Below are 27,113 nucleotides of genomic sequence, written 5' to 3'. Positions count from 1 at the left end.
ACATTCGTGACCGTCCCTGGCAGCGGCCCAGCCCGGGACTTGGCGCTTCACTCGCCATTGGTCAGTCCTCGGCGTGACGCGCAGGGGGGCGGGGCCTCATCAGCTGTTTGCGGGATGCCCCGAGCAGGCGTATTTTGGAAACAATACCGCACCGTGCGGAGTGGCCTCCTCCCGCCCCGGCCTGTGCCCGCCGCCGCCGCCGCCCCTGCCTGCGCCTCCCGCCTCCTGCCGCAGCCCGGTGAGCGCCCGGGTGGCCGCCGGGGGCCGGGCGGAGTTGGATCGCAGCTCCTTGGGGAAGTGGGGAGCGGAGTCGCGCTGCGCACGGGGGCCCGGGAAGGGTTTGGGCTGCGGACGTCTGGGGTGACCATGAAGAACTGGGGCGCTGGGGTGAGGGAACGGGGTGCAGAACCCACAGTTGGGTGCGCTGCTCCAAGAGGGAACTTGGGGGTAGCATTTGGGACTCGAAGGAGTTGGGTCCAGGTAGGCAGGGGAACCTGGGGTGCACTGCTGAGCAGACCTGGGCGCCCGAGAACGGCCCAGCCTCTGGGTCTGACTTTGGGATAGGACAGGAGCTGTGGGGCATCCTGCCTCTCTGCGGAGTCTGAAGGCTCCTCTCCTTAACAGCTGGGCTTTTTCCCTCCTTCCCAATCGAGTCTGGGCGTCCAGCCCCCGAGTGCTCGTCACGCTGGACCCTGGCGCGGAGCCCTGGCATCACGACTCGGAGGCCGAGACTCTCTCCTGGAGTCACCCAGGTCTGGGGTGTGTGTGTGTGTGTGTGTGTGTGTGTGTGTTCCTAGTCACTGTCGAGGATCTGGGTGTCTGACTACTGCCTTCTCCTAAGAGGAGGAGGAGTCTAAGTTCAGCATCCCTCTTCCAGCCCTTAGGGGTTGGGATGGCTGCAGCGGGGCTTGAGTTCCTTTGCTAGGAATAAAGCATTCCCTGGCCCTGTTCTCAGGAAGTGCCCTCCTCCTCCCACCGCTCTGGACATCACCTCTTAAGCTCAGGAGAAAAATTTCACCCTCTCTTAGTTTACCCTTGACCTTGGCCAGCACCCCTCCAGAGGCGCCCACCTACAGGCAAGCCACCTACAGTTTGTGGAGCGTGAGAGGGGTCCCTGGGGCTTGCAGAGCCACACCTTCTGGCTGCACCTCCCCCACTGTCCAGTCCAGGCAAAGGTTGAACTTTGGGGCTTTGCTGGGAGGGGGAGGGGAAGGTGATAGGCTTCAAAGGAAAAACCAAGACAATGACTCGTGCTGGTGATTGGCTTTGAGGGCCCCTTCTTAGGTCAAGATTGCTAGCCTGAGAAGAGGAGGTTGGAGAGCTGGAGGGGAGCCCCTGCCAGGTGACTGGCGGGACAGCACTTGGTCCTTTCATCAGGAAATTTTGTTTCCTGTTGTTAATAAGCTGGAGTGCACCACCTCACCCCCCTCCCCATACACACACACACACACACACACACACACACACACACACACACTTGGGAAACACGGTCCAAAGAACACCACGTGGCTGCTTGCCATCCTAGCAGGCATCTCCTCATTCTCCAGGGAAGAGGGCACAGACAGGACCATAGACAGCTCAGGGACAGGGATGGGATGGGACGAAGGCAGGGCCCAAGCAAGCAGCTCACAGCTTGTGTTTGGCAAAGGCAGCATTCTGAATTGAACTGAGATTCTTTTAGCTACTTCACCAATCCATAGACCATTTGGCTTGTTCTTCAAAGGCAAGAGACTAGGGGACAGAACCCCCAGGAATCTCTAATTGAGTCTGACAAGAATGAAATTCATCTCTTTTTATCCTTAGCTGTTCAGGTGGTTGCTGCTTCTGGCTGCTGCAGGGGCCCTAAGCAGTTCCTGGTATGTGTAGGGAGCTGGGTTGGAAGCTTAAGATGCTGAGTAGCTCCAAGCTCAGACTTTCAAGAGCCATCAGGTGGAGCAAGAGGAACTTCTTTATCACCAAGAAACTCATATCAATAACTTCAGCAGTATAGGCAGTGAGTGAGGTCACAGGGAGAGGGCTGAATTTCACTTCCTTCTGTAAGACCAGTTGTACCAGTCTCAGGTTCAGAGCTGGCAGGAGCGGGAGGCTGTGGAATCAGGGATTTGAAGTCGTGGAGACTAGTGAGGAGACTTAGTTGGGAGAGGCTGGACCTACCCTCTAGGCCAAACTTTGGTGGGCAGACAGCTCAACTCTGCTCAAAGAGAGCCGAGACGGCAGCTGCAATGACTAGCTTGGGTCTTTATCCCCTCTCCCAGGACACATTCTTACCACACTGCAGAGCCTGTTTGTTGTGTTGTGCAAGCAAGGGGTGGAGATTAGAGTAGATGGGCAGCAGGGCGGGGCTTAGAGGTTTGGAGGGAACCTGGCTGTCCTAGGATTGCTGGCTTTTGTTTTTGCTGCTGAGCCTGGAGCTCAGCTCAGACTGAGATAAGAATTTCCTTGGGACAATGACTCTGTATGTGTGTGTGTGTGTGTGTGTGTGTGTGTGTGTGTTGTGAGCACTGTATGTATAGCCAGTCACAGCACCCTTGACAGCAACTTACAGAGGCTAGTCTTGTTTATATTTTCCCAGGTACCCTGCATGCATATAGCTGCTGATTCTACTCCTGCTATTGCTCACAACCCTCAGAGTCAAACTTTGTGACCGGCCTAGGTCAGAAAACGTGATCAAGAAAAAGGGTGGTTCCAGGCGGGCCCAGGGAAGAGGTGTGGAGAGCCCCTGAACATTCAGGCAGTCCACATTTGGGGAGTGAATGTCACCCTTAGCAGTGCTTTATTACCAGGGTTGTATGTCATCAGTATGTGGTCCGGCCAGCTCAAATAAGAAGGGGGAGTATGGTAGGAAGAAGGGAAGGGGAGTCCTTCCAGGTATGGCCCTGGTGGGGCAGCAGCCCAGATGCCTGCGTTGCCCCCTCACAGGAGAGATGGAGCCATCTCAGTGTGTGGAGGAGCTGGAGGATGATGTGTTCCAACCAGAGGATGGGGAGCCGGTGACCCAACCCGGGAGCTTGCTCTCTGCTGACCTGTTTGCCCAGAGCCTACTGGACTGCCCCCTCAGCCGACTTCAGCTCTTCCCTCTCACCCACTGCTGTGGCCCTGGCCTTCGACCCACCAGCCAGGAAGACAAAGCTACCCAGACTCTCAGCCCAGCCTCCCCCAGCCAAGGTGTCATGCTGCCTTGTGGGGTGACTGAGGAACCCCAGCGACTCTTTTATGGTGAGTGCTCTCAGCCTCAAGACTCCTCCCATAGAGACTGGGGGAAAAGAGGGGACTTTCCCTCCCCAAACCTGCCCTTTGCTGTTTCCTTCCCCCAAAGTGATCAGCGGGGCTGTTGATTCCTTGACTTCCACCTGCTGCCTCTCGGCTTGTTATTGCTCCTCACCTGTGCCTCAGACCCCCCAAAGGGCAAATTGTCCCCTCCTGGAGGGATCCTTGGGTCCATGGTATCTCCTTTTACATCTTGTGCCCCTTGAGTGGCCTGGCCTTTAGTGTCCTAGCAGTGACTTGCCTACTATAAAGTGGCTCCTGTTGCCCTGGAGAAGTCTGGGGGATCTGTGACTGGCTGTTGACAATGAAGGGAAAAACCCAGCCGGTTCTGGGAGGGAGGGTTCCCAAAGGCAGAAGGTGGCCCCCAGTTGCCACATGGGACTTTCTGTGTGTGAAAGGGGAACTGGAGAAAGAGGTTGGGCCTGCCTGGGCCCAATGCCAGGAGAGGGGATGCTTCCAAGGCTAAGACAAGACCCCTTCATTTGTGGGCTTAAATAGTTTGTTTTATGAGAAATATGCCCTCCTCTGGCAAAAGGGCAGGGTTAGACAGTCTGTTTTCTTCTATTAGCACTGCAGCTTATGGAGGGAGGGTAAAGGCTAGGAGCGTGGCTTACTGTGTCTGACGAGCTGATTGAGGAGACACTGCAGTTACTCCCAGAGGGAACTGCCCCTTAGGGCAGTTCTGGCAAAGCAGTTCTGGCGGGAGTCTGAGAAGTTGGATAAGGCGGGCAGGCGGGGAAGAGGGAAAGGAGCGAGGAGCCCGGCGGACTGGCGCCCCTAGCGGTGGTTCTAACGCGTGCACTGGGTAAGTGTGGAGCGCTGGTCTAGAGGTCTTGCCTGGGGCTGTCTCCGGAGAGCAACTTGGCAGCTCTGTGCGTCTCAGTTTTCTCTCCCTCTTTTTGTGCTGCTGCCCAGGAGCTTCGGGAGACCAGCCTTACTCTACTGCACTAAAAAAGTGAAGACACTTTTTGATTTTTTCTTGCTCTGCCTCTTACTTTGCTCAACCCAGAAACTGGAGAGCTACCTCCAGTGCTTTTCCAGAGAAGAGCTTCAACCTGCTACTACGTGAATAACCAACTGTGGTTAAGGGTAGCTTGATAAATAAGGACGGAAGGCTGGCATGTTCGCCTGCACACGTTACCACCTGCCCTTTGTCATGGCACTGTCAGTGAATGGAGAAGCGAAGAGAAGGCTGGGGCCATTCTTTCTGTTCTGCAACTTTTATGCACTTGGGCAGCAGGCTGTCCAAGCTTGGCAGAGTGCTCCAATAGAGGCAGGCTGGCTCCTATCCTTTCTCATATGAGGATTTACCCTCAGCCTCCAATCTTGGCCAGGTCAGGCAGGCGTAGGGAGGTTGGAGCAGTTGTGGAGAATGCTGAGATGTGGATCCTCTATCTTTGCAGGCAATGCTGGCTATCGGCTTCCTCTCCCTGCCAGTTTCCCAGCAGTCTTGCCCATTGGGGAGCAGCCCCCCGAAGGGCAGTGGCAACATCAAGCAGAGGTACAGATTGCCCGAAAGCTTCAGTGCATTGCAGACCAGTTCCACCGGCTTCATGTGCAGCAAGTAGGCACGGGGGTTTAGGGGAGGAGGGTTGAGTCTGCTGGGGCTTGGGGGCCAGGGCCTGCCTCTCTCCTCTTGTCAGCAACTCTGTCTCTGCCAGACCTCAAGGATATTGTCCCAGAGTTTTGGTTATGGCGGTTCCCATGGGCAGGAGGGGCCTAACTGGCTAAGCATCTTGCCCTCATCTCTGAGCTCCACATTGGTTAACTGCCCAGTCTCAATTCATGTTCCATAAGAGCCCTCTCGGGAGAGGCTACAGTCTGGGAATAGGATGGCTTTCTGCAGCTCTGCTTGACAACCTGTCTCTTCTTATGGCCGTGGCTGAGGGGTTGCCCCTCACGGACCTAAGAGGAAGATTTTCCGGGTGCTGCAATGAAACTGGGCAGTTGGGGGGTGCCTGGCTAAGGTACAGTGGGAAACGGGTAACCAGGCCAAGGGATGGGGCCTGAGTTGGGGAAAGTGGTGGAACCGGTTGAAACCTGACACTTTCCAGCTGGGGAGGCCGCTCCTCACTGTCTCTGTCTGGGAACCAGGGTCTGGGACTCCGGAGAGTGTACCTCGGAGAGGCTCCCCAGACCGGCGGCCAGCCGGGCGCTCAGCCGGGCGCTTGGCCGGCAGCCTGGCACCAGCCCCGCCAGGGCGGGGCATCACGTGTCAGCCGAGCATGTGGCAGAGTCCATCAACAAAGGCGGCGGCTGGCAGGCTCGTGCTGGAGGAGCCCTCTGTGCCATGGCCTGGAGGCTGCCTTCCCTGTTCCAGCAGCCGCTGTCTGGGCTGGGTCCCCAGGCACTTAACCCTTCCTCTTCGGGCTGGCTTTCTGGATGGCTGCCAAGGCTGGGAGAGGAGCCTGAGGCTGCATCCGTGCTGGTACAGCCACAGCTGAAGCACAGGCATGCCACCTGGAAGCGAACACATTCTGTACTTCTGGGACTGTGTCCCCAGCCCAGCTGGCTCTGAATGTGTGTTTGTGTGTCTGACTGCGAGGAAATCAAGGGAATAAATAGCTTGACCATGACTGGGCAGACTCCGAGGTTAGAAGGGTAGCTTCAGGTGGTCGGAGGAGAGCTATTGGTAGGTTGACTTAAGGGTCAAACCATTACCAGTGCCAGGGGAAGAGGAATTGACCTTGGCTTTCCTAAGAACAGGACATTGCGGGTTACATATGGTTAGTGCCCTCTGCCAAGGAGTTCTAAGGACAGTTTGGGGCCAGGTCTGGGCCTGGTAAGTCCTCCCAGTCCCTTAGTGATCAGGAAGGGAGGGTGGCCCTATGCTTAGATAATAGATCTAAGCTCCAGTTCTTACTCTCTCCTTTGATTATTTGGTGGAAACTTGGCTTCGAGTTTCCCCTTCAGTCCATGTGTGGACTCACTCTGATTCTTGTTTTCAGTTTCTTGGCCTCCTTCCTGCCCATTCACTCCACCGTGGTTGTACAGGCCTACGGCTGAGCCCAGCTCACAGCTTCCAGTCCTGGTACTGGAGAGGATGGGAGGACACAGTGGCTGTGGCTCTTTTAGACTCATCTAGCGGGCTCCGTGGAAGGCAGCTTGCTTCATTTGCAATAATCTGATCTCTTTCACCAGTTATTCCCCAGAATATTCCCCCATCCACTGGTGAGCCTCTATAGGCTTGGGAATAGGCCGGGAGCCCTCCCTGGCACAGGACTAGGATACAGTCCTGGGGGCCCTCCTAACTTGGTCCTGAACAGGAGGAGGAGGAGGCCCTTATCCCAAGGTCTGGCCCTGATTTTTTTTTTTTTTTTTTTTTTTGGCTCTTTCGCCCAGGCTGGAGTGCAGTGGCATGATCTCGGCTCACTGCAACCTCTGCCTCCCCAGTTCAAGCGATTCTCCTGCCTCAGCCTCCCGAGTAGCTGGGATTATAGGCACGCACCACCACACCTGGCTAATTTTTGTACTTTTAGTGGAGACGGGGTTTCGCCATGTCAGCCAGGCTGGTCTCGAACTCCTGACCTCAGATGATCCACCTGCCTCGGCCTCCCAAAGTGCTGGGACTACAGGCGTGAGCCACTGCGCCTGCCTTGCCCTGCTTTTTGCTGGTTGGCATCACTTCTCCCAGTTCAGAGCTGCCTCTTTGCATGCACAGGTTAGTTTTAGACAAGGTGTTGTGCTTTTAGCCAGAGCCACCCAAGCTGGGGAGAAGGAAAGTGGAGGTGCAAGGCATGAGAGTCTCCTCTGCCTTGCACCTTACTCCACACTGGCTCCCAGGTTTCCTGTACCCCTACCCTCCTGCCATCTACCTACTTCTTACTTACAAGGGTAGGAGGCTGACCAGTGAGCCTTTTCTAGCTCAAAGAGCTGGTTTTCCCAAATTTTCCAGTACAAAGAGCCAGGGTTTTGTCTTCTCCTTAAACAGTTCTCCCCAGAGTCTTCTTGCTTTTAACCCCCTCCTCCCCACTGACCCTACTTATAGACCTTCACCAGGAACTCATCCTGCAGGAAGGGCTAAGGTGATGGCTTCAGGCAGGTGGAACACTGGTACTCCTGGAACGTTTCAGCAGCTGGTTTTGAGAAGTGAGTCATTTTCTAAGCTTGATTCTTATATAAACTACAGTCTAAGATTTCATATCTAGAAAGTACTGTTGTCACTCCTCCATTCTTATCCTTTATCTTCTTTCCCTATTCCCTTCCCTCATTTTTGCAGGCAGAGAAACTGAGGCAGTGGGAAGGAGGTTATTTAGGATTTAGTTTCTAGGCTTTGGGTTCAGAGTCAGAAAGCCCAGGTTTGAATACCAGCTCTGCCATCTACTAGTTTTCAGGAAGTCACTTGACTTCACTGAGCCTATTTCCTCTTCTATGAATTAGTGCTAATACCACAGAATTTTACTGTGATAATTAAGTGAGAAAATACCTATGAGAGTTTGGGACACACAGTAGATGTTCTTTAATGCCTGTTTCCTTCTTTCTGTTTATGATCCTGATCACCCCCGACGTTTGTTCTTGTTGGTTCACAATTCATTTCCCACTCCACCTGGCAGGGGACTCCCTGAGCAGAGCTGCCTCCCCTGAACTTCCCTCCACCTGCCTGGTCCAGAGGAATTAGTGTCCAGACTGATCATCTGTGGACCTTGGCCTTATCGATTTCTCTTCAGGGAATGATAGTCATTCCCCATCATTGCGGGCTGGATTTAGAGAGCCAAGAAAAGCAACCCTAGAGGCAGATGGGACTTGAGGAGGCCTGACCGTCACCTTTCCCCTACATCTGGGATAGTGTCCTGGGGCTAGACAGTGGCCACTGGTCCATAGTCCTGTGGAGAGTGTGCACTCCCCCTTTTTGTCCCTGGTTACAGACCTGAGTTACTCGTTTTTTTGCACCAGAACGACCTTCTCCCTTGGAGGTATGGAGCAGAGGGAGGGGGCGTGCTGATGCCATGAAATCCCAATTGAGTGTATCGACCTGGCTCCAGATGCAACAGGTTCCAAGTTTCCCTGGGTGTCGTTTTACGTGGGCCATCTGCACTTTCAGCGCATTTCCCAAGAGCCTTGCTAGGTGGAGGACTAGCCTGGTCACCCGAGTTACCAGTTCAGGGTGACTCTTCCAGATCCACAGGCAAAAAACCGGAGGCAGAAGATCAGAGTTAGCAGGGTGCTCCGCCTCAGCTCTTTGTGTCTCCAAAGCAGCAAGAGAGTTGGAGGCAGAGTGAGTGGAGGTAAAAACCTTTCAGAACCTCACCACACATCCCACCTTCCTTTGGCCGGGGCAGGAGTGAAGGTTCCCCTGTTTGCTCCTCTGTGAGCTGACAAACTGTGGCAGGGACCCCCGATGGTCTGCTGATAATGACTTATCTTGAGGGTGGTGCTGTGGTGCTTCTGTGTCCAGCTTCTGCATGGAAGAGCATGGTGCAGATGTACTTCCTCCCTGAGCCCCTGGGCTGCCCTGGCCAGAAGGTCTGAGCCCCAGCTTTCCTGTCCTTGTGCCATGGCCTCATTCAGCACGAGCCTAAGGAGGGGCAGGAAGTGGTATCCCCTCCCCTTGGGAGAGTCTTCTGTCCCAGTGGCCCATCATGACATTTGGGGGTATTTCTGGGCAATGTTAAGAAGCCAAGAATCCTCAAAAACAGTAGTTACTGTAAACAGTCGAGTGAGTAAAGCTACAGGAGGGTTGGAATTCTTCATGTTGGAAATGGCTTTTTCACTTGGACCAGGAGTGGCTCCATTCAGAAAAGCCGGGTTTGGAAATCTCTGAATAGTAATTAGACTTTTTGGCAAATGAAATCTGAGAAAACTTTCAGCCACTCAGTTGAAACCATCTTTAGCTGTAATATCACAAAAAGGATCCTAGACTTGTAGGCAGATCTGTTAAAATCCCAGCTCTGCCACTTATAAGTTATGTGTTCGTGGGCAAATCATGTAATCTCTCCAAGCCTTTTTTTTTTTTTTTTTTTTTTGGTGAGACAGCGTTTCGTTCTTCTTGCCAAGCTGGAGTACAGTGGTGCGATCTCGGCTCACTGCAACCTCTGCCTCCGGGTTCAAGTGATTGTCCTGCCTCAGCCTCCTGAGTAGCTGGAATTACAGGCATGCACCACCATGCCTGGCTAATTTTTGTATTTTTAGTAGAGACGGGGTTTCTCCATGTCGGTCAGGCTTGTCTTGAACTCGCGACCTCAGGCGATCCGCCCATCTCGGCCTCCCAAAGTGCTGGGATTACAGGTGTGAGCCACTGCACCCGGCTTAGTCTTGGTTTCTAATACTTACCTTGCCTAGTTGATGTGAAGGGCCTTTAGGAGTTGTGATACAAATAACTATTAAGTCAGGGACAGTTGAGTACTTTTAGAAATATGTTAAAAGATGACTTTAGGATTTTGCTTGGACCTGACTTTGTAATTTGGGGAGCTCTTTTGGAAGTTGTACCCGAGTTGGTGTTTGCATGGTTTATTAACTAGCAGCTTCTCTGCCTAGCAGACTGGATCCTTTGTTCAGGGAGCCCCTGATTGCTTCCTGACACTTTGGGATTCTCTAGTTATTAGTGAGTGGTTTTCTGGAACTTAAGCTGGCTAACTAGGTTGCTCAGCGTCTAGATGGGACAGCCCCGGGCAGGGGCCCCAGAGGTTTGCTATAGAGTGAGATGGGTCCCTAGGAAGCCAGCCTCTGTCCCAGGAGTGGGAGGCCCACCTAGGACAGTGCCAGGGGAAGAATGAGGCTGGGGGAGGGACTGCGGAGAGCCAGAGTGCGTGAGAGCCAGCGCCGGGGCTGGGGGCCCTGTGTTTGCTCTGTGGCTGGCTCTGTTTATATCGCTCGCTATATTTAGCTTCTGAGTCATCAGCGTGGCAGACTAGAGGCTGAGTTCCCCACACACTCTGCACCTGACTGCTCTCTCTTCCAGGAGAAGGGCCTTGTAGTTCCGGAGAGTTCATTCCCTCCCCACCAAGGCCTGCCATGGGATGGAAATTGGCTTTTTTTTTTGGAAAGTGGGTGATGGGAGGAGGGGACTAAGGGAGACACAAAGAAAGAAGGTTAAAGAAAAATGACTGGTTTGCCTTTTGATCCATGTCTGGCAGCCAAGAGGTCATGTTCCATGACCAGAGCACACAATCAGTCCGTGTGTGAAGGGGAGGGTTCCATCCTTCCTCCTTGCCTGGTTTGCCTTGACCTGGTCCTGGACAGGACATGAACAGTCAGCTGAAAAGACCCCAAGTCGAGTGTCAGAACCTGGGGTTATTTTGCATAGCATAATACACACAACAGGCTTGTCCCCCGAACCCCCTCCCTCTCCCTTCTTTAACCAGGGCACACACCATTGTGCCCTTCTGAGCTCTGAAGAAGTTGCCCAGTAGTTTGATGGAGCTGTTCTCAGCTTGAAGGAAACTGAGTAAGGGTCTCAGTAGTTCCTCCCTCCAGGCTGTGGAGGTGCAAAACAAGGGTCTGGGGACATGGATGGTGCAGCACAGCTCTGTCCCCGAACCGTACCCCTCAACCCCCAGTGGCTGGAGCCAGTGTCTTCCAGTTGCGTTAGAGGAAGCCTTGCCATCTTCCACTGAGAGCTGGCTGGCTTCGGACTGCTCTTTTTTCCTTAGAGAAGCAATGGGCGTGGCCATGGTGGCTTCAATGTCCTGTTAACACTGCTGGCTGGGCTGAGGAAGCTCTTGGCAAGGAGTCTTTTTTTTCCTTTTCCGTTTTGCCACGTTGCTCGTTCCTCGGGCCTCTGGGTCAGAAGCAGTCTGAGGCAGTGGGCCCACTGGGTCCAAGGGGTTGCCCTCTGGGTTTCAGAATCCTTGGCTTACCCTGGCAGCCTAGAATCCTGAGCCCCATGGCCTGTGGCTGCTGTGGGCAGTCTCAAAGCAGAAAGTCAGGGATCTCCCAGGGATTTCGTGAGTCTGCCGGGAAGATGGTGCTCCCCAGGCCGGCCCTGTTGCAGAGCATATTGAGAGACGTGCTCTGCAAAGCCAGTGAGTCCCAGGTTTTCCTTGTGCTCCCCAGGGAAGGAGGAGCCTGCTCCTTGCAGCCCCCAGGCCCAGTGCTTCATGTATATTTTTCTTACGTAATCACCACAGCAACCTTGGACTTTTAGACTCCATTGCCACTGTGTTATAGGAAACTGAGGCTCAGAGAAGTGAGGTAACATGTCCAAGTCACACCGTAATTTGCTGAGCTAGGCGTCATACAGATTTGATGGATTCTGGAACCATGGTCCAATCGCCCCATACCTGCTGCCCAGCAATCACATTCCGGAAAACAAGGGTACAAGGAAGCACACATTTGCTGCCCCAACCCGCTCTGCCTCATGTGATACTCAGCTAGGTGCTCTTGCTCTTCTCCCCATTATATTGTAAAACAATTGAGAACCAAGTTTATAATATTTTAATCATCTTTGTATCCACATAACTCTTAGCTCAGTTGGGTGCTTAGTAGCTCAGTTGGGTGCTTGGTAGCTCAGTTAGGTGCTTGGTAGCTCAGTTGGGTGCTTGGTAGCTCAGGTGTTTGGTAGCTCAGTTAGGTGCTTGGTAGCTCAGTTGGGTGCTTGGTAGCTCAGTTGGGTGCTTGGTAGCTCAGTTGGGTGCTTGATAGCTCAGTTGGGTGCTTCATTAAAATGTCCTTATTTCAACAGAAAACATCTTCCTAGCTTCCTTCAAGCAGGAATTTTCCTGCTCTCAATGTTCCTGTTCTTAATTGCAAGGCTCTTTCTTTCAGCCTTGGCCTGAGTAGGTTTAGAGAATGACAGGGAAAAGGGAAGAGGGAGGAAAACTTCACATCGTGGACTGTGCACCTTCCCCTAGAGTATAGACAATTCTGCATTTTGAAGAGATTGAGTGTGGTTTCAGATCACAGTCTGAAGTTATAATTTCAGACCAGTTTTAGCTTTATTTCTGTTTGATCTTCAGTTAGCTCTGCCTCTGAAAGGGTTATTTTTTTCTGGTCCACAGCGTCCTTACTAAATAGTTAATGATCTGGAAACAATGTCTTTAAGCATACTAGGGGAGCAGATCAGTGGTGATTTGCTTTGAAAAAGGTAATGCTATTTTCATAATGTCAATAAACACACTGTAAAATTTTAGTGAAGGAACATAGCTTTGGAGTCAGAAGTCAGGGCCTCAAATTACACCCCTCCCAACTAACTTGGGATGACTTTTCTGAGCCATTGTTTCCGTCGCTCTAAAATGGGTTGATTAATACCTGCTCTTCCTATCGTGAGGATCACATGAGAAGAAAGGAAAGTGCTCTGTTCTGTATCTGAGATATTATAAGTTGCTCTCTGTTTGGTAAATTTGCATTTTGTGAGTTAGGTTCTTTTAGAGCTGCACACGGCTTCGCTTTGCTTCTTCCTCTGATACTTTGGGGTGAATTAGCTCTAGCTGGAGCATCTGGAACACTGGTGACACACAGAGCCCCCAGAGGGTATGAATTGGATCTGAAAAGGGGAGAGGCAGAGGGAGATTCTTATCCAGGGAGCGTAGGGAACACGCTTTGTGCTTAGGGCAGAGGCTGTGTGGGATGAAACAGAGTTTGATTTATGTAATCCAACCTTGTCAGACACCACAGCCAGCTCTTTAGAGAAAAAAAAAAAAAAAAAAAAAAAAGGAGGCCTTTTACTAGTTGGGCCTCTCCCCAGGTGTGAGGCTGATACTATCACATAAAGTACATCTTTAGACCTGGCCAGACATCAGTTGTTCCTGGCCTCAGACAAGTGGGTTATCTTTCAGGGCTGACTCCTCTGTAGTCGGTCCAGCATGCCCTTGTTGAGTGCCTACTGTATGCCTTCCATGTTCCCCATTACACAGGATGAGCAGCTGTGCATTCAGGCATAGGGTGTTGCACACAGTAGGGATTGAAACATTTGTCAGCTGACTGCCTTCATCCCCTGTCCGTGGCAAGAAAATGAGGCTGGGCCAAAGAAGCCGCATGGGGCTCTGATGCCTGCTTGTGCTCTCTTCATTGAAGAGAACACCGTGATCTACCATGTTAGGGCACCTTCCCTGGGGGCATTCACCTCTATTCATTCCCTCCATTCCTTGGCCCTGCCTTCTAAACCATGTGAGTCCGAGGGCTCTAGGGTGAGCTTCCCCTCCTCTGTATCCCAGCCCCGACCCTTGGGTCACCCTGACTGTGTATTCTGGGAACTCCCATTCTGTGAGGGGTTCCCTAGCTGAGTCTAGGAGGGCAGGCCTGGTTCTGGGGATCTGCCCTTGTTGATCTCAGATTGTGCGCTGGGTGCTGTGCCGGGTGCCTGAGGGTCAGAGGCCAAGTACACTCATTCCTGGTTCCCCTCTCTTCCCCTTCTCCTCCACACCCTCTTGTGGAAGATCCCACGTTCTCTGGTGTTTTGGTATCTTTGTGTTCTTCATCCTGTTCAGTGAAGGCCAACTTCCTTCCTCCTCACTGTTTCTCCCACTGGCCTCCCTTCAAGTCTTTTTTCTTTCCTTTCTAGTCAGGCCCTTTTGTTAAACTTTTAGGAAAAATTTTATTTATTGTTGTATTTTGTAATCAGGGCATTCTTTGATTATCTTGGTTTCCTCATGGAAAAGGGTCTTGTGAGGGCTGCCCTGAGGCGGGAGAAGGCCAAAGGGAGCCTGTGTGGTATCTGCTTGTAGCCAGAGAGGGCTCATGGGCCCATGGGTGGTTCCCAGGCCCTACACTCAGCTGACAGAATTCAGTTGTTGGAGCTCTGAGTTGTAATCCTGAAGGTAGTCGTGGATGACAAACTCCTTAGGGTTGGAGAGCACCTTTGTGGTTTCCAAAAGGCTGTGGCCTGGCTGCCACAGAACCACCTGGGCAGGATTGACCTCTGGCTTGGCCAGTGGGGTAAGACATTACTTTGGTGGAAAGAGATCGAAAGGGACTGAAGAAAACACCAACACGTGAAGTGTTTTCTAGCCTGGAGGATCATGAGTGACTTTATTTCCTCCTCTGTAATGTCTTGTATTTTCCAATATTTCTACAATTAACATGTATTGCTTTTATGATTAAAATATACAATAAATGATTTCTGATCTCTAAAATGTCACCAAGGGAGCTTGTTCAGTATACAGATTCCTGGGACCCTTCCTTGAAATTCTGACCCAGTGGGTCTGGGAGAGGCCTGGAGACTCTATACTTACAAGAGCACCTCAGCTGGCTTAGTGACACAGTTGGGTTTAGAAACCATTGATCTAGTACAATACCTGCATTTTCCTTATAAGCCAAGAGAGAACTCATGAGCAGGTTGATGGGAGATCCAACCCGAAAGCCAGGTCCTCTGATTCCTGGTCCCTGGGGATCCATGCACCATAGAGCCTTCCTTACCAATTCATGAGCCTTAAGGACTGTCACACGCAGAGGCATGGAAACTAGTTCCTTCCCAAGGGCCGGCCCATGTATCCTGCCTCCTGCACCTAGGCCTGCCTGGGTCCCCTGCAAGACCTCAGCCTTCCTGTCTGAAAGCACTCTCTGGCCCACAGCTGCTTCTGAGTCCCCCAACGCTCCCAGATGATGGGAGTCTGTGCCTCATCTTCAGAGATCTCAAGTTGCCCAGGGAGTAGGTGGCCTCCATTAGTGGAATTTGGGAGAAAACTGAGGCATACAGAGATGAGAATTGCCTCAGCCCCAAATCATAGAATTCTCATCTGCTTTCCTTGGCCATTGAGCTGTTTTGAGATGATTTAGTAAAGGGGAGGCTAGAGGGTCTGCTTTGGTATAAAGAAAGGTAGTGGCACTCTGAGCACAGAGATAATGGGAAGGGACATAGCTCTAGGGCCAGATGGTCTAGGTTCAGTCCAGTCCCTGCCACTTAAACTAGCTATGTGGTCGCTAAGTAATGGGCATGATAATGTGCCTCAAAATCACCTGGGGAATCTTCTGATGCTGGGTCTGCATTTCCAGGCAGCTCTCTGATGATGCTGAGGCTGCTAGTCCATGGACCACCCTTTGAGAAGCAAGGATGCAGAACACACAGAACAGAGCCTGGCACCTCCCCACCCCCGACTGCCACCCTAACCCCACGTTACTATTATGAGGTGATGATTGTTCTTGCCACCGGTCTTCTCAGACAAGCACCTCAGGAGAACTGGAATTCCAGCAGACTGGCCTCTCCAGGGATGAGTCTGCTCCTGGATTCTCCTCTTGTTCGGCCACATGACCTCTGCACCTGTCTCGGTCAGCAGCTGGGGAGGGGAGGAGAGGGGGTCTTTGGCCCAGCTGCTGCAGGCCGGAGGCTTCGGGTTTGCAGCTGAGTCCATTTTCACGCTGTTTTACTCTAACCAGATTTTGTTAAGCCGGGTGTGTTTCCTCTTTTTACTCATCTTTGTTTACAAAACACGAGGAAGCCATCCATCTCCCCACCCTCTGTCTGCCAGGCCTCTTCTGTGGCACGCCCGATTTCCCTTCCCCTCCGGGCAGGAGCTGCGCCTCCAGCTTGCCGGGTTGTTTTCCAGGCTCTTCCACGGGGGAAGGAGGAATGCTGTTGCCATGATGGACGGGGGCATTCCGTGTTCACCTGGGTTGTCAGGCCCTGAGGCCAGCTGCCTGGATGCCTCTCTTTTTGTGGCCTAGGGCAGCGTGAAGGGGAAGCCAGCAACCTGCATGGTGGCCCTGGGAAAGGTCAGGGAGGCCAGGGCTGGACAGAACCTGGAAGCTCTGGGAGTCCAGGCAACCTGGGCCCCCTTTCCAGCTGTGCCGCTGGCTTCCTCTCTCCTCTTCCCATCTGACCAGGAGTAGTTGCCTGGTGGGGGCTGGTGCTGTGGTTAAAGACAGTTTAAGAGAAGGCTTGGACACCTCATGTAAACTTGCTTGCTGACGGGGCCACTGAAGTAATCCAAGTCCAGCCCGTGCTGGCTCCTTTCTGCACACTAGGTTTTTATTCCCCTGTCCAGTGAGAACCCTGTGGAGAGGCCCCCGCCCAGTCCTCCTGCCCTGGCAGACAAAGAGAGAACAAAGACCGCCTCTTCCAGCACCCCCCAGTTTCCACCCCCCCAGGCCTCTCCTGGGAAATGGTACCTGTGTGGGCAGGGCACCAGCCCCAATCTGGTGAGCCACTGACCCCTGAACTTTGCCCCTAGCTTCCCAGCCTGACAGTAGGACCTGGGATAACCTCCAGAGCATAGTATATATTCTTTGTTTTTGTTTTGTTTTCAAGTATGTTCTTGCTTAATGTTTAATTGGCTCCAGTCAGTAGGAGAGCGCTCCAAGAGGGATTATTTATGGCTTACTGTCAAGAGCATCTATAAAAAGGGCAGCACCGAGCTGGAGATGCTGGGGAGGGAGAGCGGGCGGGCGCACAAGGGTGTGTGTGTGTGTGTGTGTGTGAGTCTGTGTGTGTGCGTGTTTGCACTGGATGAAATCAGATTTTTGCTGCCTCAGCAGTGTGGTTTAAATTGAAGATTAACCCTTTGACCTTCACAGTGTCAAATCACTTGCAGATGGAGGCCCCCCCTTTCCCCTTGTTCTCTGTGTTACTTTGGAGTCGGGGGAGAGAGGGGGGCACTTCTTCTCTTTCTGAAGCCAGTTTGTTGTTCATGCAGCTGAGGTTTGAGGGGCTCGGGAGCCAATCTGATTAAAAGCAGCACTTGGCTAAACTCTGGAAAATCCTGCAAGCAGGGGAAAAAGCTTAATCCTCTTGTGCATAGTGCATATAGAGCCTAGTCTTTTCTTTTTAATGTTAAAACTGCAATTGTTTTTGGAGAACTCAACTCTCTCCTCCACATGGCAGTGTCTCTTTCACCTCCCCCTCCTCCCCGCTGTGAGCTGTACTGATAGGATTAAAGTGCCAGCCGTGAGACTTGGAGATCTGAACTTTTACTGGAAATGAGAGGGAGTCGTCTAAGATTGCGTTTGGGAGTTATGTTGGTCTTTTTTTTTTTTCTCCCTTCAGCACCAGCAGAACCAAAATCGTGTGTGGTGGCAGATCCTCCTCTTCCTGCACAACCTTGCTTTGAATGGAGAAGAGAACAGGAACGGGGCAGGCCCTAGGTGAGGGTGGGCTGCCCTCTTCACATGGGGCACCAGGAACACCGTCTGGAACAGGAAGGACATCGGGCAGGACTGACACTGTGTCTTGTGAAATTGTTTTTTTGTTGTTATTTTGTGTTTTAATTTTTTTTAATTTCTCTCTGAGTGTACATACAACATACTCAAGCGGGACCTTCTTTCTCTGTCAGGCCCTTGACCTGGAATGGGGGCCTTTGTCAAACACTGTTGAAGGAGAGGCTGATGTGTCTGTGATGGTGAGAATTCCCAAGGGCTCTGACAAGTAGATTCTTCGACTGAGGAATCTACCAGTTGTCGAAGATGATCCGTTAGTGATGTTCTCTGGGAAGTGGACTGTGGTTTTTCCAGAGGAACTCAGTTAAGAAATCGAGAGTGGATTAGACTCCCAGTTCCACCAAACCTATGAGCCTTCCACTGTGGATGGGGGCCGTGATCCTGATGGTCACATTGCTTTAACCCAGCAGGGCTTCGGCCAGGGGCTTTCCACTTGAGGATAGCAGCTTCACTAGGCTGGCCGGCCAGCTCCACATCTGACTGGGTTCTTACTTCTCAGCCAGTACCTGCCCCATGGGCTCAAGGATTCCTGGCCAGCTCCTGCCACCTCCAGCAGACCTCAGGGAGGGTTGAGTTTCTCTAAGGACCCCTCAAACATGTCGCAAAATGAACCAAACTTCTGGCTAGGCCTCAAAACTGACTTGGTCCCACTTGGAGGCCCCAGGATTGGTCCTGAGGTACAGAGCCACTGCCACCACTGGCGGCCTGGGACCAGCTGGGTGTCAGCCACGGATGAGCCGAATAGCCAGTCAGCATGTTGCTGCTGGCAGCCTGTGCCTTTGTCAGCTCTTCTTTCAAAAGACCCCACCGACAGACCGCATTCCACCCCCAACATCGGCACTGAGGGACATCGGGGGCAAGTTTGCAGTGGGGCCGGAAAATATGGTGGCCACCCTACCATGAGAGTCAGCCGTAGGGGACCCCAGACCCCTTGGTTTCCTTGGAAACAACATACCTCTTCCCCCTTATCCCCAGTCCTTTTTCATACCTAGTGGGATACAGAAGAAGCCAGGACAGTGGCTTTGCCAGCTAAGTGACTTTTAGAGTAACAGATAACGATTAGAGTGGGGAACCGTCAAAGCTGGGTACACATTTCCTATCTTCCTCCAGCTTCCAGCTAGGCCAGAAGGGCATGCTCTGGAACCCAGCAGGATCACAGCTGCCTGTGCACGTCTTCCCTTCTCTCCCTGCTGCGGCACTTATGGAGAGGATCTAAAGCAGCCGGTGTGGCAGCTCCGATAGCAGGCACAGGGAATCTGTTAACCAGACGCTAGAAACTAAATTATAACTTTTGCATATGTGAGAAAAGACAACATTGGTGCTAACAGTGAAGTAAGGCCCAAAGGAAAGACGGCTTCCCTGGACAAAGAAGACCTCAGGGCTACCCAAGGAAATAGGAGGAGTCTAGAGTAGACTCACAAATCTGAACAAGCCCAAGTCTTCCAGTTCTGAGGAGAGGAGGTCTTCAGTACTATTGAAGGAGACATTGATCTTCTGGATGTACAGTTGTGCAGGTTGTTCACTGCACAAGGGCACCTGCAGCTAATGGAGGCTGGAATTCAGCTTGTGTTCTGCTCACTAAGCTGTGTGCGTGCCCTGGTGTGGGGCTACTTCTCCCAAGAAGAAGGGGTGCCTTTCCTAATTTGCAAAGGTGCCATATGGGCTCACAGCACCCTGGAGGAGAAGGGCCTCAAACTGTGCATGTAAGCCTTTGTTTTGTTCTGCTCAGATATTCTGGATATTACCTCTTCTTGGTCAGAATTCTATTCTCAGGGTGTGTACCATGATTTGTCTGCTAAGAAGACGGGTTCCTGCTTTGCAGAGAAGGAGCCGGGGACCAGCTTGAAGACTGGCTCTGGGACACACTGACCATTGTGAAATTCAGCCTTCCCTGTGGGTCTCCATACCATTTTATGATGTGTATGGGACATACGTTGTTCTCCCCTCTCTGGATCAAGGTGGTGACAGGCAGCCTGCTGCCGTATGCTTCAGTGGCACACACCAAAAAACCGGGATTATTTACAGCAGCCACTATTCACCCCTTTTGGCAGACTCTCCACCTGAGTTCAGTGAGAGAGAAAATGATTTAGATCTTGGTGCTGGGGCAAGGCCATCAGCTTCAGAGACCTTGCCAGGCCCAGGCTGGGTGCCCTGTGGCCTGAGAACTGAGCCCAGACTTTGACAAACCCACCTCAACATCAAGCCTGGGGCAGGTGGAAGGTGGTCTGACTGCACTGTCTCCATCTTATGCAAAGCCAGGAACTCACTCACTGTCTTAAGTGAGCCAGGGCAAAATTTACACCCCTCACGTTTCCCTCTCCCTTCTTCCCCACCAACAAAACCCAGGAGGTAGCTGGCAGAGTAGCTGTCAGGAAGGAGAAAGGTTCTTTCTGGCTGGTTGTTTTTAATTGGCTTAGTGATCTAAACTGGCCCCTTCCTCCTCTGCCTGGTGAGTTGGCCTAAACATTCCTCAAGTCTAGCCTCAGGAGACCTGCCCCTCCCCCCCGACCTCCACCCCCTCAGACTCCATCCCCCACCCCCAGGAGCCTGGCTGTCTCTAGCGAGGGGTGGAGAATCAGATTTAGAGGGAGGGAGAGTCTGACCTGGATCCTGACCTGTAACCAGCTGAAGACGGTGGAGGCTTTGTGGCTTGCTGAGGGTGGGGGTTGGGAGAGGGACTGGAAACCTTCCTCCTCGGGAAAGAAATGCCTGGGAGGAAGGGAAGCCTGATATTCAGGGTCAAAACAGCCCTTCTAATTCACAACCCCAAAGCAGGGGTTTCTAGAAGTTGGTCAACAGATCTGGTGAGGGAAGTCCCCAGGCCAGACGCTGGACTCCTGCAATGAGGGTGGAGGACTCAGCCTGGCCTCTGCCTGGCCTGTTTCAAAGTCTGGGCCACTGGCAGCCTTCTCTTGCTCAATCCGAGGTGGAAAAAGATCACCTCCCAGTGACCTCCCTCAGCCCCCAGGGGAGTAGGTCTGTGTCCAAAGCTATGTGGCAGGCTTGTTTGAAGGACCCAGAGGGGCCCAGCTGACCTGTCTCACTGCTCCTGGCAGCCCAGCCCCATCGGCAGGTGGCCCCTGCCTGGGGGTTATTCGGGATGGTTCAGCCAGGGCCTCCCAGGAAGAGTGCTGTGGAGCCACGGTGACTGTCCTGGACAGCAAGGAGCATGCTACCCCAGTGAGCACTTCTTTTTGAGGGACTTGATGGGGAGGTGGGGTAGGCAGAAGGGACGTGGCAGAAGCGGGAAGACTTTGGTCACCATGGCTCTGCAGGCCTTCTGCAAATCAGTGCTGGCCTGGGCTGGAAACAGCTCTGTGTGTGAAGGTGAGGACTCTTGGAAGCAGGCCATCCTGGCCAGACACCCTAGCAGGAAGGGGCTCACCTGTCACCCTTAGGCAGCCTGAGGGCTGGTGGGGACTTTTGAGTCTTGAGGGGATAGCGGAAAAAGCTGAGCTCATAGGTGCCCAGCCAGCCTCCCAGCTAAAGGTGCTCAGAGCCCCACTGCCCCCTCTCTCTGTGCAGGTGGCCAGTGCCCCTCCCTGCTCTGGGAGCATTGCTAGCCTTCTACCCCATCCCTGGATCCACAGGGGCTATCGAGGAGACCCAGTGAGAATGTAGCATTTTGTTCATCCCCAGGGTAGCTGCCCTGGGGTCTGGGCACTCTGCCTCTGGGAGAGAGGAAGAAGAAAGGGGCCCCATTTTTTAAAAAACTGTACAGAGCCTTTGGCTTTATGTGTTTATGTTCTTCACATGCATATGTGTGTATGTGTGTATATCTTTCCCCCCATCAATTGGTACAATTTTTAATAAAATCATTTAAAGCAAATCTGGTCTTTTATTTTTCAAGGTGTGGTAAAAATGCAAGGAGATCAGTTAGGAAATTAAAGCCTTCTAGCTTTCTCAGCTGCCAGCTTGAGTGACCTGAAGGCGCTCAGCTTTCGCCGTGATTTCCTTTCCCCTCTTGGAGTTGAGAAGAGTGATTCCGACCACCACGCGATAGGCAGCACAGCAGAGGCCCTGTGAGGGGGAAAGATGCAGGTTTTGGACCCGGTTCCCTCCTCCTCCAGCTGAATGATCTTGGGCAAGTTATGTCACCTCTCTGAGCCTTCAGTTCTTCCACGTGTGAAATACGACTGTGCCGGCCTTGCAGGATTAAAGGGAATGTGTCAAAAGGGCCTGTCTGCCACTGGGACCCAGTGAGGGAAAGGACCCCGGCAGCCCCTCCCGCACACACTACCCCACCCCTCCTTTCTATCAGGGTAGCCCCTCAGGAGGCAAGCTAGTTGTAGGGGGACTTCCTGGCTTGCATTTCTTTGTGGATTAACAATGTGTCTGATTCAAAGCGGTGATTTAAAGCTCTTGACAGAGTTCTGAAAATCCTTGGGAAAAACTACTCCTGATCCTATCAGCAGTAAGTTATGAACTGAGGGGCCAACCCGCCCTGCATCTGTTGGGCTGTCCTTGATTTAGGAGGTTGTCAGCTCTCAGATCTAGCCTTGGCCTCCAGTTCCAACCCTCATAGAGGGTTGGAGCTTGGCATGACATTGGATCTTTTGTCCAACCTCTCTGTCTTATGGGTGAGTAAACTGAGGCCCAGAAAGGGGATATAATTTTCTATTTGGTCTCTTTAAATAGCTGAGTCAGTCTTGAGGGGGGGCTCACCCCATCCATCTGTTTCCATTTGGGAATCGCACTGCTCATGCCCAGGTCTTCAAGTAAGCCAAAACTTATCTATTTTTAATGCCAAATAACTGCCTCTTCTTCTGTAAAGTATGGCACTTCCAACCACTCTATATTTGGACAGGGAGGTTTATTTTTACTGGAGCGTGGTATAAGTGGGGCCTGGTGCCATGTCCGGATGTTATTCTACATTTCACTTGCTGGGTTGTAGTTGAGTCCATTAAGCAGTTCCTATGAGGTTCACAGGGGATTAGTAGGTGACTGGTGATAGTGATGTCTTTCACGTCATCGAGGCCTACCTTGGGTAAGGCTGCACTCCGTTGCCCAGGCTAGAAATCTGAGCGCTCACCTTCGTTCCCCTTGTTCCCTCCTTTCTCTCTGTCTGATCCCTCCAGAGGAAGAACAGAGACATTAAAGGCACAGCTGTCCAAGTTTGAACCCAGACTGTGCCGCTCACCAGCTATGTGGCATTGGGAGGCCACATAATCTTTCTGTGCCTCAGTTTCCTCACCTATAAAATGAGATAGTAGTGCCTACCCATAAAGTTATTGTGAGAATTAAATGTGTAAATATGTGTAAGGTGCTTAGAAGAATGCTTGGTACATATTAAGTTTTCAATTTATGTTAGCTATTAATATTAATGATATTATTATTTGTGGGCAGTTGGTCAATAAGCTCTGGCCATTCTTACTTGGAAATGTCTCTTGCAGCCTATCTTCCTTCTGTCTCTGCTGCACCGTCTTAATGTAAGTCCTTTTGCCTGAACAACTGTGGAGCATCTTAACTGTTCTCTCATCAGCCTTGCCCCTTCCACAGCATGGTCTTCTGTGCTGCCAGGGAAACTTCCTAAATGGCAGACACAATCCCATCGCCCCCACTGGAAAACTTGCCCTACCGGATCCTTAGCCTGCCTCTCCAGATATCTCCTTTGTATTAGTATTCTGTACTTGTATTCTGCAAAACAAATTACCCCTACATTTAGCAGTTTAAAACAAAAATGGCCGGGCGCAGTGGCTCACGCCTGTAATCCCAGCACTTTGGGAGGCTAAGGCAGGTGGATCACGAGGTCAGGAGTTCAAGACCAGCCTGGCCAACATAGTGAAACCCCGTTTCTACTAAAAATACAAAAAATTAGCCGGGAGTGGTGGTGGGCACCTGTAATCCCAGCTACTTGGGAGGCTGAGGCAGGAGAATCGCTTGAACCCGGGAGGTGGAGGTTGCAGTGAGCCGAGATCCCGCCACTGCACTCCAGTCCAGGCAACAGTGCAAGACTCCGTCTCAAAAAAAAAAACAAAAACCAAACAAACAAAAATTTATTATCTCACAGTTTCTGTGGGCCAGGAATTTGGGAGTGGCAGCCCAAGGTGGCCGCGTGATAAGGTGCTGGTATTAAGGAGGAGACCCCTGAAGCACCCATTTAATTTTCATGAAGTCAACTGCAGGAGCTCAGCTGAGAGGTGGGGAGAGCGGGAGGGACACATACAGTGATATGTTGATGTGTGGTGATACAGTGCAGCAGCCGGGCAAGGTTGCAGGGCCCGGAGGGTGTGTGAGACGGGAGCACACGCAGCCACCCTTCCCTGGCCTCATCTCACGGCAGCATCTCGCCACACTGAAGATAAGTTTCTCTGGCCCAGCACAGCCCTAAATGCCACCCACGTTTTCCTCTGCTGCTCAGCTGAGGTAACAGGAGTCTCTTCCAGCCTGAAGGCAGAGCTGACTGGCTGGGATGTCCCGTGGAGGGATCATGTCTGCTTGTTGTACTTCATAGGCATTTTAAAGGATTTTCAAGGGAAATTTTCACTTTATGTGATTTGGCTTTACAGGAGGTCTTGGAACTAGTCCCTGTGTACAATGAGACTCCTTTGGACCCCTAAACCCCAAACCATGCTGCCCTTAACGCACTGCTTCCTAGGAGACGCTTCTGCCCCCGTAACTGGGAAGGCTCGGTGTGGAATTAGAATTGGAATTGTCCTAAAGGGAGGGTGAAAGTAAGTGATGTTAGTGATGCCCTGTCTGGCCACTGCTTTTGCTACCATTCACATGTCCCCTGGCTCCACGCTACTCTGCAGGGGGATCTGTCACCAGCATTCGAATGCTCATTCGAGCGCCAACCCTGCTCCTAAGAAGGTGAGGTACACTGAATGAGTCACTGGCACTGAAGCGAGGCGCCACCCTAAGCCCAGTGCGAAGATTGGAAAGAAATAAGCTACATGGTCCCCACCCTCAAAATTATGCCCTACAAGAAATCCAGGTGGTGTGGAAAAGTGGATGAATCACCCGGTGGGGATTAAGGAGACTGGGTTTTCAGGCTGACTGTATCATTAGCTGACGGAATGACTTTGGGCAAGGATGTGACTTCACCTCACTGGTCTTTGGGGTCCTTATCTATCAATGGGGCAGGACCAGACTGCATCTCTGTGACCTGCCCCAGCATTTTATTCAGCAGGTTTTTTGTTTTTTGTTTTTGAGATGGAGTCTCGCTCTGTTGCCCAGGCTGGAGTGCAATGGCACGATCTTGGCTCACTGCAGCCTACGCCTCCTGGGTTCAAGCAATTCTCCTGCCTCAGCCTCCCGAGTAGCTGAGATTACAGGCGCCCACCACCACTCCCGGCTAATTTTTTGTATTTTTAGTAGAGATGGGGTTTCACCATGTTGGCCAGGCTGGTCTCGAACTCCTGGACTCAAGTGATCCACCTGCCTTGGCCTCCCAAAATGCTGGGATTACAGGCGTGAGCCACCATCCCCAGCTTCGCAGTATTTTGTGTTTTGTTTTGTTTTGTTTTGGTCAGGTCTCGAACTCTTTTGAGATTCTGCTGAATTAAGATAGCAATCCTCTCTTAGGGAAAAGGCATATGACATGCTCAGACTCAAGAATTTTTGCATAAGATTTCAGGAAAATTATTGAGTCTCTGAACCTGTCACTTGGTCCCCAGGCTTCAGGATTATGGTTTTCTTTGTAAAGGAAAAAGCAAAAGAACAAGTACTGCAAAAACTTAGAAACCAAAGCAAGCTTTTTCTTCATTGCGCTCCTGACTTTCCTCATACTCCAGGCAGTTACTGCTGTCGCATGTACATTTCACCCTGTGTACACGGTGATGGAGGATGGTGCAATCTCTGGGGGCACGTGTGTTTATTGTACTGCATTCTTGATTTTGGAGATGTACACTTCCTGTCAGCACATTCAGAGACTGAGGCTGTGAAAATGGTCCTGTCCTTTTGGAGGTCACAACTTCAGCCCAGAGAGAGTATTTGTAGCCACAATGGGCTTTGCAGCCTTCTATCTTATCCAGCTGGAAGACGGGCAAGGAACCTGGGGTGCTTTTCCATGAGCTCAGAAAGGGGCTTCAGAGGTTCATGCAAAATGAACTGGTGGGGAGTGGTCAGCCCTTGGAGGGGTAGGAAAACATGGTTGGGGACTGTGGAAGACCCGGGAGTGGACAGGGGCAAAGGCCTGGGAGTTCTGGGCAACCCTGATAAAAGCTGCTTGTTTTGCACCTGAGTGAGCCCAGGGTTCTGCCCCATGATTCCGTCTGTGAAGTGGAGAGGGTTTGGTGCCTGGTGGCAACCTCATTTCTAACACAGCATTATGTTTGCCAAGTACCCTTTAGCCCAATTTCATAGGTACTGAGCCCTTGAGTACCGATTTCATAGGTGCTGAACACACACACACACACACACACACACACACACACACACACTCACACGCTTGAGAGGGCTGGCTACTATTCTAAAAAGCAACCACAAAAAAAATTCATCAGCCCCCGAGTCTGGTAGATCAAAGGCTGGGGTCAGGAGCCTCTTGCCCGAGCACCAGGGCTTGGTACTGCCTCAATATTCTGCAGTTTACGGCCATTCTAGACCCATAATTTCCATGATTCCTCTGTGAAATGTAGAGAAGAACTGATGACACTTCACAGACTGGGGAAACCAAAATACACCTGTAAGACTGGATTTCATACCATTAAGGACCAACAAATTTCCCTTTTACCTCTTACCACCGATGGTCACCATTTACTCAGTACAACTGTCACCATTTTCTTGACTACCAATGGACATTATTGTGTGAGTGGCTTTTTTACATGTCTGGATGGACCGAAGGCCCTTGTGTGGGCAGGCACTGATCTGTCTCATTTACCACTGTAGCCCCGCTATCCAACAAAGAACCTGACACTTGCAAGGAGCTCAGCAATCTTCATGTAAGCAAAGAGTGAAGAATACTAGTGGGAGGAAGTGTGAGTGCTCGTGGCGTGATGTTCAGCAAGGCGTGCCACTCACTGCCGCCCTCACGTCTGAACTCCTGAGCAGTCCCACGGGGCGAGGGCAAAATGAACCTTGTTTCCTTTCCTCCTCCTGCCAAAGTCCGAAAGTCACATTCTGCAGACTTTCAGGAAATTTGACTTGCTCACTTCAGTAGGGTTCAATGCAGCAATTTCTGGGTGGAAGTGGAGTTGGGGGAAGGGCACGCTGGCACTGAGGCAGGTGGGCTCTGAGCAGTGTAGGCTGGTGAGCCAGGCTGAGGGCCACCTCCTTGCTCAGTGCCAGCAGAGCCCACGCTCACCAAATGTCCATGGTTCCGAAGCACCTTGGTGAAGGATGACACCAGTGGGCTCTGGTGCCTGAGGGTGTGGCCAGGGTGGGCTGAATCAGTGGCATGGCAGCTTCCCTCTGGCAGGGTCCTGCCAACTACCAGCCTCCCTGCTCCTGAGGAAGCAGAACCAGGGGAGGTGTGGTCCAGGCTGCCCTGCTATCTCCTGCGGTTCATCCCAGCCATCCAGGAGGAGAAGGGGTGTGTGTGAGGGGAGCAGCAGCACAGAAATAGCCTGCAGTGTTTAGAAGGGAGGACCCCAAGGAAGTGCCCAGGCTAATCGACCAAAAACTCCTGCTGGGACATTGCTCTTGCTTCCAGTTGCTTCGGTCTGCCTCTCATCTCAACTCTGGCTACAGAAATATGTGTGTCCCTTCGCAAGCTCGCTGTTTTATTTTTAAAAGTATTCTGCTCTACTGTGAGCCATGAACAGAAGCTCCCCTTGTGGAACAAAGAGTTAATCTCCCTGCAGTGGCATCCTGTCAGCCCCTCGGAACCTGTGTCAGCGTTCTCCTTCCCGCTCCCCCTGTGGACTGCCTCTGGCTCACTC

General features: G+C 51.9%; 1 protein-coding gene across 24 annotated transcripts, besides 15 other annotated features; it reads left to right on the top strand.

Moving 5' to 3' along the window:
* Positions 75-324: a silencer, noted in NCBI's record as "silent region_6318". NCBI's record gives its function as "represses an Ori minimal core promoter by ATAC-STARR-seq in GM12878 lymphoblastoid cells {active_cell/tissue: GM12878}" and the evidence as "EXISTENCE:reporter gene assay evidence [ECO:0000049][PMID:35858748]".
* BMF (Bcl2 modifying factor) lies at positions 132-21,121 on the top strand. 24 transcript variants are annotated; one of them, NR_174116.1, is made up of 7 exons: positions 132-238; positions 625-752; positions 2,573-2,653; positions 2,920-3,216; positions 4,671-4,831; positions 15,136-15,408; positions 17,123-21,121. NR_174116.1 is itself a non-coding variant. In NM_001398497.1 (6 exons), the coding sequence occupies exons 4-6, from the start codon at positions 2,925-2,927 to the stop codon at positions 17,222-17,224; spliced, it is 555 nt and encodes a 184-aa protein (NP_001385426.1). In that variant the 5' UTR covers positions 132-238; positions 654-752; positions 2,573-2,653; positions 2,920-2,924; the 3' UTR covers positions 17,225-21,121. The 24 variants fall into 24 exon arrangements, 20 of the variants coding, with proteins under 20 accessions (NP_001385426.1, NP_001385431.1, NP_001385427.1 ...); NR_174114.1 differs by having other exon boundaries at positions 2,573-2,706; NR_174115.1 differs by lacking the exon at positions 2,573-2,653 and having other exon boundaries at positions 654-752.
* Positions 834-1,529: an enhancer, noted in NCBI's record as "H3K4me1 hESC enhancer chr15:40399683-40400378 (GRCh37/hg19 assembly coordinates)". NCBI's record gives its function as "activates a minimal SCP1, AML or CMV promoter by ChIP-STARR-seq in naive H9 embryonic stem cells {active_cell/tissue: H9 hESC(naive)}" and the evidence as "EXISTENCE:reporter gene assay evidence [ECO:0000049][PMID:30033119]".
* Positions 1,809-2,103: a silencer, noted in NCBI's record as "tiled region #12469; HepG2 Repressive non-DNase unmatched - State 1:Tss, and K562 Repressive DNase matched - State 5:Enh". NCBI's record gives its function as "represses a minimal TATA promoter and a strong SV40 promoter by Sharpr-MPRA in HepG2 and K562 cells {active_cell/tissue: HepG2 | K562}" and the evidence as "EXISTENCE:reporter gene assay evidence [ECO:0000049][PMID:27701403]".
* Positions 3,100-3,149: an enhancer, noted in NCBI's record as "active region_9234". NCBI's record gives its function as "activates an Ori minimal core promoter by ATAC-STARR-seq in GM12878 lymphoblastoid cells {active_cell/tissue: GM12878}" and the evidence as "EXISTENCE:reporter gene assay evidence [ECO:0000049][PMID:35858748]".
* Positions 3,370-3,419: an enhancer, noted in NCBI's record as "active region_9233". NCBI's record gives its function as "activates an Ori minimal core promoter by ATAC-STARR-seq in GM12878 lymphoblastoid cells {active_cell/tissue: GM12878}" and the evidence as "EXISTENCE:reporter gene assay evidence [ECO:0000049][PMID:35858748]".
* Positions 3,919-4,111: a silencer, noted in NCBI's record as "fragment chr15:40397101-40397293 (GRCh37/hg19 assembly coordinates)". NCBI's record gives its function as "represses an EF-1alpha promoter that drives an FKBP-Casp9 reporter gene in an ReSE screen in K562 erythroleukemia cells {active_cell/tissue: K562}" and the evidence as "EXISTENCE:reporter gene assay evidence [ECO:0000049][PMID:32094911]".
* Positions 4,644-5,209: an enhancer, noted in NCBI's record as "H3K4me1 hESC enhancer chr15:40396003-40396568 (GRCh37/hg19 assembly coordinates)". NCBI's record gives its function as "activates a minimal SCP1, AML or CMV promoter by ChIP-STARR-seq in naive H9 embryonic stem cells {active_cell/tissue: H9 hESC(naive)}" and the evidence as "EXISTENCE:reporter gene assay evidence [ECO:0000049][PMID:30033119]".
* Positions 5,210-5,774: an enhancer, noted in NCBI's record as "H3K4me1 hESC enhancer chr15:40395438-40396002 (GRCh37/hg19 assembly coordinates)". NCBI's record gives its function as "activates a minimal SCP1, AML or CMV promoter by ChIP-STARR-seq in naive H9 embryonic stem cells {active_cell/tissue: H9 hESC(naive)}" and the evidence as "EXISTENCE:reporter gene assay evidence [ECO:0000049][PMID:30033119]".
* Positions 9,856-10,425: an enhancer, noted in NCBI's record as "active region_9232". NCBI's record gives its function as "activates an Ori minimal core promoter by ATAC-STARR-seq in GM12878 lymphoblastoid cells {active_cell/tissue: GM12878}" and the evidence as "EXISTENCE:reporter gene assay evidence [ECO:0000049][PMID:35858748]".
* Positions 10,826-10,875: a silencer, noted in NCBI's record as "silent region_6317". NCBI's record gives its function as "represses an Ori minimal core promoter by ATAC-STARR-seq in GM12878 lymphoblastoid cells {active_cell/tissue: GM12878}" and the evidence as "EXISTENCE:reporter gene assay evidence [ECO:0000049][PMID:35858748]".
* Positions 11,072-11,585: an enhancer, noted in NCBI's record as "H3K4me1 hESC enhancer chr15:40389627-40390140 (GRCh37/hg19 assembly coordinates)". NCBI's record gives its function as "activates a minimal SCP1, AML or CMV promoter by ChIP-STARR-seq in primed H9 embryonic stem cells {active_cell/tissue: H9 hESC(primed)}" and the evidence as "EXISTENCE:reporter gene assay evidence [ECO:0000049][PMID:30033119]".
* Positions 12,259-12,308: an enhancer, noted in NCBI's record as "active region_9231". NCBI's record gives its function as "activates an Ori minimal core promoter by ATAC-STARR-seq in GM12878 lymphoblastoid cells {active_cell/tissue: GM12878}" and the evidence as "EXISTENCE:reporter gene assay evidence [ECO:0000049][PMID:35858748]".
* Positions 15,074-17,652: an enhancer, noted in NCBI's record as "VISTA enhancer hs1611". NCBI's record gives its function as "enhancer in: hindbrain (rhombencephalon)[6/8] | somite[6/8] | midbrain (mesencephalon)[6/8] | forebrain[6/8]" and the evidence as "EXISTENCE:transgenic organism evidence [ECO:0001131][PMID:17130149]".
* Positions 25,995-26,679: an enhancer, noted in NCBI's record as "H3K27ac-H3K4me1 hESC enhancer chr15:40374533-40375217 (GRCh37/hg19 assembly coordinates)". NCBI's record gives its function as "activates a minimal SCP1, AML or CMV promoter by ChIP-STARR-seq in naive H9 embryonic stem cells {active_cell/tissue: H9 hESC(naive)}" and the evidence as "EXISTENCE:reporter gene assay evidence [ECO:0000049][PMID:30033119]".
* Positions 26,243-26,362: an enhancer, noted in NCBI's record as "active region_9230". NCBI's record gives its function as "activates an Ori minimal core promoter by ATAC-STARR-seq in GM12878 lymphoblastoid cells {active_cell/tissue: GM12878}" and the evidence as "EXISTENCE:reporter gene assay evidence [ECO:0000049][PMID:35858748]".

The sequence above is a fragment of the Homo sapiens genome, chromosome 15, assembly GCF_000001405.40.
Source record: "Homo sapiens chromosome 15, GRCh38.p14 Primary Assembly".
Taxonomy (NCBI): Eukaryota; Metazoa; Chordata; class Mammalia; order Primates; family Hominidae; genus Homo; species Homo sapiens.
This window is presented reverse-complemented; position numbering and strand designations above follow the sequence as displayed.